The sequence below is a fragment of the Homo sapiens genome, chromosome 12 (assembly GCF_000001405.40).
Source record: "Homo sapiens chromosome 12, GRCh38.p14 Primary Assembly".
Classification (NCBI taxonomy): Eukaryota; Metazoa; Chordata; class Mammalia; order Primates; family Hominidae; genus Homo; species Homo sapiens.
In genome coordinates, this window is record NC_000012.12 from 100,192,644 (window position 1) to 100,200,171 (window position 7,528).

Sequence of the window (7,528 nt, forward strand, 5' to 3'; positions counted from 1 at the left end):
CACCAAATCTGCTGCTGTCTTCATCTTGGACTTCCCAGCCTCCAGAACTATGAGAAATAAATTTCTGTTGTTCATAAGCTACCTTGTCTATGGTATTTTATCACAGCAGCCCAAATAAACAAAGGCAATCAATTTGGGAGAAGAAGAAGAAAGAAAAGAAACGATTTGTCAAACTCTGCTTAAAACTCTTCACTGACTCCATAGCTCTTAGGACAAAGACCAAAATCCTGCCCTGACCCAAGCCCTGCCTCTTCCAAAGGCTATGTCCCCTTCACCCCTAGCTGCCACCAGGCACTCCTTGAGTCCCACATGCAAACAGCACCCCCACCTAAAGGCCTCTGTTTATGCCACTTCCTCTCCCTAGAACACTTTACTCCCCCTCTCCACGCCCCCCAGTCAACACCAACTCGTCCTTTGTGTCTCAGCTGGAATGTCGCTTCTTCAGGAAAGTCTTTCCTAGCCCTCCCCAACCCCTAAACCACATCAAGATCCTGAACTATACATGTACTGCCTCTCTTTCCTTTCAAACTTCCTAGCACTGGTTGGTGTTTGTTATATTTTATTAATATCTGTTCCCTGGATACTGACAGCTCCACAAGGACAGGGACTATCTTGTCCAGTCATATCCCTAGTGCCTAATCACACACAGTGAGTGAGTGAGTGGGAAGCTCCTGAGGCCTTCCTAGAACGCAAGTCAGTGAACTACAGCCTGGAGTCATTTCCAGCCTCTGCCTATTTCTGTACAATCTACAAGCCAAGAATGGTTTTAACATTTTTATTTTGCTATTTTGTTTTTTTGAAACAAAAAACAGCCTGTCACCCAGGCTGGAGTACAGTGGTGAGAACACAGCTCACTGCAATCTCTACCTCTTGGGCTCAAGCAATCCTGCCTCAGCCTCCCAAGTAGCTGGGACTACAGACATTTGCTACCACATCTGGCCAGTTTTAAAATTTTTATAGAGATGGGGTCTCACTTTGTTGCCCAGGTTGGTCTTGAACTCTTGGGCTCAAGTGATCCTCCCACTTTGGCCTCCCAAAGTGCTGGGAGGAGTACCGGAGTGAGCCACTGTGCCCAGCTAACATTTTTAAATGGCTGAAAACAATTAAAAGAATATTTTGTGAAATGTGAAAATTACATGAGATCCAAATTTCAGAGTACATTAGTAAAAATCAGAATGCAGCTATACTCATTCTACGGTTGTTTCTGTACTACCACAGCAGAATAGTGACAGAGATGGCAGAGTGTGCAAAACCAAAATACTATGTGGCCCTTTACATAAAAAGTTTGCCCCTGCTGTAACAGTGTCCTCGAAGTCCTGACTATGGGCATGAAATACAAGATACCTGAAAATACAGAACTGACTGTAAGTAAGCTCTCTCCTCTGGGGAAGGGTGAGTCATAACCCCCTTTTGGATTCCCAATATCCGTTCTATTCAGTGGGCATTTACTGAATGGCTGCCTCCTCTATGACATGAGGCAAGAATGGCATGTAATACATCTGTACATTTGGGAGTTCTGGCTGATCAGTTCTAAAGCGTCACCAAAACCAGTGCTTACTGGGTAACCGTTTTCTATTCATTCATTCAACAAGTGTCTACCTGGGCACCATACCTTAGTCAGTTTAGGCTGCTATAACAAAAACACCACAGACTGAGTGGCTTAAACAACACAAATTGACTCCTTAGCTCTGGAGACTAGAATGTCCAAAATCAAGGTGCTGGTCAATTTGGTTCCTGGCAAGGGCCCTCTTCCTGGTTTGCAAAGGAATGCCTTTTCGCTGTATCCTCATAGGTGGAGCGGGAGATCATCTCTCCAGGGTCTCGTTTATAAGGGCACTAATACCATTCACGAAGGCTCCACCCTCATGACCTAATTACCTCCCAAAGGCCCCACTTCTAAATATCATCACATTGGGAGTTGGAGCATCAACATATGAGTTTTTCAGGAACACAAACACCAACACTGGTCTATAGAAAGCCTCCTTTGTGCCAGATACTGTTGCATGAACTGAGGATACAAACAGTCCTTAGGGAGCTCACCCTCTGGCGGGTAGGAAATAGGTTGGGGACTCCCCTGCAATGAGGACTGTGTGAAAGGCAGTGGAAGATGAAATGCCATTGTGGTATCACAAGCACAATACTGGACTTGCCTTGAAGGAACTTACTAATTGGAAAGCCTTGAAAAGTTTAAGCCCCCATAACTTAAAGGTTAAATAATGCTTCAAGACTGAGTAGATGCTCCAGGGTAGAACAACTTAGGAGAACCATACAGCAAAGAATGCTGGTTCACCACATCTAGTTTGTACTGAACACACTCTGATTACCCAAGCCAATACATGTTTGTCATTAAGAGCAATTTCAACAACAGGGAATGCACACTCCCACAAAAGTGGGTTAAGAATAGGTGTACATAGCTATTCCGTTACGTGTGGCTCGGAAACCAACACACATGTCCATTTGAGCACCAAGCACCTACAAGAAGGCAGCAGAGGAAGGAAATCATTTGCTGACTGTCTGATGACACTCTCTTGCTCCGAAGACTGCAGAGATCCGGAAGAGCAAGGCTGTTTAAACTTCACCCTCAGTCAATCACATGCTCTCCTTCCCCTAAGTGCCTCAGATTCCAGTAAAGCTCCACGAGAAGCCTCCAGCCCCCCTACACACACAGAGATATGCACACAGTAGCGTCAGCCTCTGCTAGGCCCTTACAACAGTTTGCAGATATGTCCAGTAAAAGGTATTATGCATCCTGGTAAACAACTGGGCAGTAAAATGTTCCTGGTGATACTCACTGTCCAAAAAGGACAGCTATCAAATACAGTAAAAGGAAAGACTACTATACCTTATCTGATCCAAAACAATTAATATCCAAAGTCAAAAAAAGTAGACTTGTCAGACCGGACAATACAATTAGATATTCCACATTTTGGACACTCACTGTTCCTGGAGCCTCTACTTTCAGAGAGGGTCTGAGTCTAGCTTCATGACATCAGCAAAATTACATACCCTCTCCAGCCTCTATTACCGCATCTGTAAAATAAGGCACCAGATCAGATCCCTAAGTTTTGGAATAGAGGAGTTTACCAAGAAATTCTTGTATCAGCTTTAAGACTCACATAGTAAAACATTTTGGAAAAGCCCAACAAAACCACAGCTTCTCCAGAGAAGGCTCAAAGATGCTTTAAAATAAGAAAAATATATAATACTATAATAAGAACATTGCTGATTTTTCTTTACTTTTTAACCCTCTGTGAAAAGAAATGGTATTTGTAAAATTATACACAACTAGCTGAAGTCTGAGCAGGGCTAAAACCTAACTTAAAAATCCTTAGAAATCAGGGTCTCCTCTATGGCTGGACAGCCCTGAAGTGAAACATTAAGGCTTATGGGAATCAGTTCTTGGATCTGAAAGATGAAAAGGAAGATAAATCGGTAATTTCCTTATTTACCACCATAAAGTTTTTACTTCTAGAGCTCAAAAGAAATAATGGTACAATGAAATTTATCTTTCTTAAAACACACCCCTGGCTGGGCACAGTGGCTCACGCCTGTAATCTCAGCACTTTGGGAGGCCAAGACAGGTGGATCACCTGAGGTTGGGAGTTCGAGACCAGCCTGACCAACATGGAGAAACCCCGTCTCTACTAAAAATACAAAAATTAACTGGGCGTGGTGGCGTACACCTGTAATCCCAGCTACTCGGGAGGCTGAGGCAACAGAATTGCTTGAACCTGGGAGGCGGAGGTTGTGGTGAGCTGAGATCACACCATTGCACTCCAGCCTGGGCAACAAGAGTGAAACAATGTCTCAAAACAAACAAATAAACAAAAAACACCCCTACTCTAAAACCCTGATCCCTTCTTTTGGAAAGCCTTGCCTGTTTCCATTTCCATTGTTGTAAATAGCCAACACTCGAGGCCTCAGGTATTATCTTACTCTGTGACCAATTTAATTTTACATGTCAAAATATTCCTCCATTGTCAGTAACCCAAAGGAAAATATTTCCTTTTCTTAAAAAAAAAAGAAATACTCTGAACCTACAACAAGATGGATAGCGGCCAGGCACAGTGGCTCGTGCCTGTAATCTGAGCACTTTGGGAGGCCGAGGCGGGTGGATCACCAGAGGTCAGGAGTTTGAGACCAGCCTGATCACCATGGTGAAACCCCGTGTCTACTAAAGATACAACATTAGCCAGGCGTGATGGCGCATGCCTGTAATCCCACTTACTTGGGAGGTTGAGGCAGGAGAATCACTTGAACCCAGGAGGCGGAGGTTGCAGTGAGCTGATAGCGCGCCATTGCGCTCCAGTCTAGGCAACAGGAGCAAAACTCTTGTCTCAAAAAAAAAAAAAAAAAAAAAGATGGATGGCATAACACAACAAACACTGATGCACCCACCACCCAGTCCAAGAAATAAAACACTGCAAAACAACAGTGGAAGCCACAAGGCACCAGCCCCAAGGCAGCCATTCCCAATCACATCCCCCCTCTTCCCATCAGAGGCAACCACCACCTAGAAACCAGAGCTCATCACCCCCTTGCATCTCTTCCCCTCCTGACACAGTATATATCCTTGTGATCTGTAGCACTATTTTACATGATCTTCTTAACCTTTCTATAAATGGTATCATTCTGAACAGAATCAGTCTGTAACTTATTTCTTGCTCAATTTTATGTTTGTGAGAGTAATCCACATTGACACTTATAGCTCTAGTTCCTTTGTTTACTACCACATAATATGCCATTATATGAATATACTACATAGTTGGCCAAAAACACTGCTTGATGTTTCATATGCCATGTAGTGCCTACTACTTTCCGTACCACTATGGAAAATGTGCCAGCCATTTCCATAACATTCTCCAGAATCCTCACAGCCACTAATGAGGAAGGTAAGATTCCCATTGAAGATGAGGAATGAGAAGACCAAAGAGGAACTGGGACGTGGTATAACTTGTCCAGTACATGTGAGCAGCAGGATCCTGCTTCAAGTTCAAGCCCATCCAAGTCTAAAGCCATGCTCCTGACAATATGCCCTGTAACCCATATAGGGCTTTACAGTCATCTGAGAAAAATCTGAAACATGACGCTCTATTTTCTTTGTTAACAAATATCCTACAGGAAATTCACCTGACATGGGGACAGTCCATGTATACACTGAGGAAGAGCCTCTACCTTTGGCAAAGGTCTTCCACCGGGGTCATTCCCATGTTTATACAGGCGCAAAGTAAGCCTGAGTAGGACTGCAACCCTGGCTGGCTTCCTTCGGGGAAACAGGCTGTCTGCACCCACTTACAGACAGGACAGAGGAGCCCGAGAGAACATGGGAATCAGATCCTGCTTGAATTGGCAAAAGCTGAGTCGACAAAGCTCTGAGAACATCTCCGGGGGCAGCTGCAGCTGTTAGCAGCTCTGGGGGTCTGAGGAACAGTCCTGTGCTCATAAGGCCAAGAGCCTGCCTACTCTGCTCTCCGCGTGGCCAGCTTTGAGAGTGCTTTCATACATCCCAGCCCAACCCTGCTGCCCTGGAGAAAGCCGAGCCTGCAGCGCGGAAGAGGAATGAGAGAGAAGGTGGAGGTTCACAGGAGCCAGGCAGGGAGCACAGCCTGGAGAAAGGATACTGGGCTCCAGGCCTGGGCCCAGATCCCTCTATGTGCTCGAAGCAGGTGGACCCCTCGGAGGTGACAGAGTCTAGCCCGCTAAGGACTCCCAAGGAAAGGGGAGGCCTCTCAGCACCAGGACTCCTCACTCTACTCTCCTGCTTCTGCATTATTTTTCCCATTATGTCTCTTCGCTGGAGGATTAAAAGAGCCTCAAAGAGCAAGGCCTAACTGGCTGAAGTGACCCCCTCCCACCTCTCCTGGACAAAACAAGGAGCAAGAAAAGAGGGTCTGCCACTTACTGGCTGTGTGACCTTAGCTGGAGCATCCCTGCCCACTCTCGGAGGAAATGTAGTGGAATATCTCTAAGGGCCCTGCCATTTCTGACTCTTTTTGTCTATAGTGCTAAATGCACTGTGGCTCACGTCTGGAATCCCAGGAAGATGGGTGGGGAGGATGGTTTGAGCCCAGGAGTTCGAGACTAGCCTGAGCAACATAGCGAGACCCCCATCTACACACACACACACACACACACACACACACACACACACACACACACACAAAAACCATTTTTTAAATTAGCCAGGCGTGGGCCTGCACCTGTGGTCCCGGATACTTGGGAGGCTCAGGTGGGAGGCTCAGGTGGGAGGATCACTTGAGCCCAGGCATGAGGCTGCAGTTAGCTGAAATCACACCACTGCACTTCAGTCTGCACAACAGAGCGAGATCCTATGGCAAAAAGAACAAATAAATAAAAATAAAATAAATGTACTAACATTTACTGAGCAGTTTAGAGTATAATTAGTTTAATCTCAACACCCCATGATATAGATACTACTGCTATCTCATTTTAGAGGACGCTGAAGGGCAGAGCGGTTAACTGATGTACCAAGGTCCTAGCAGAGTTCTAAAGGAGGCCCCTGGGGCAGAAGCCTACGGTTATGAATGCTTGGGAGGGCTGCACCGGACATCCACGGGATGCTGGGGGTGAGAAGACACTAGAGAGGGGTCAGAGGGAAGGAGCAGAGGGAGATAATGGGTCAAAGTGTCTGAGGAAGGAGACTGGGCTGGGTAGCCCCAGCCACCCGGGCCTAAGCCCAGGTGGAGGGGAGGAGATAGGAACGAGGACGGGATGTGGAGAAGTGGGGAAAGGCAGGCCGACGTTGGCAGGGTGCGAGGAGGCCTTGGAGAAAGGAGGGTGGATGGGGCAGGCCCCCAGGGGAGGCAAGGAGCGCCGACAGAAGGGCCCAGGCGCTTGCAGGGCGCGAGTTCCCACCTCAAGCACCGTGGCGGCTCCCGCGCTGCGCACCTGGAAGTGCGCAGGCTGCTCCGCCGCCTCGTCGGCGCGCTGGTAGCTGAAGCAGGCTTCTGCTATGTCCAGGTGGCCGAGGGGCAGCGGGTCGTGGGGGTTCTTGAAGTAGCAGAGGCAGCAGCGGCGCCCGTCCAACACGAACCGACGGCTGCGGTAGCCACGCAGTCGCGCTGGTTCCCGCGCGGTACCCGCCCCGGGCTCTGCAGCCTCCCCATCGCCGTCGCTGCCCTCCTCTGCCCGGGTTCCGGCCCCGGTATGGCTGCCTGCGCGCCAACCGTTTGTTCCCCGGCCCCCGCGCCTTCGCGCTGCGGCTGCTGCGCTCCCTGCCCCCGCGGTGCCCCCTTCCCGCCGCCCCGCTCCTCTCTCAGGCGCTCAAAGTGGCCTGGAATTTGTAGAACGCCCCCCTCCAAGCCCGTTGGCAGTTGTCCTAGCCCGCTGGCCCTTGCCCCCGCCCGCTGGCCGTTGCCCCCGCGACGCCCCGGAAGCCAGGTCCTGCCTCCCGCACCTGCCAAGTCCCCGCCCTGCCGGAGTCTCGCTCTGTCGCCCAGGCTGGAGTGTAGTGGAGCCATCTCGGCTCACTGCAACCTCCGCCTCCCCGGTTCAAGCAATTCTCCCG

General features: G+C 48.6%; 1 annotated feature.

Moving 5' to 3' along the window:
• Positions 7,116-7,475: a silencer, noted in NCBI's record as "silent region_4764". NCBI's record gives its function as "represses an Ori minimal core promoter by ATAC-STARR-seq in GM12878 lymphoblastoid cells {active_cell/tissue: GM12878}" and the evidence as "EXISTENCE:reporter gene assay evidence [ECO:0000049][PMID:35858748]".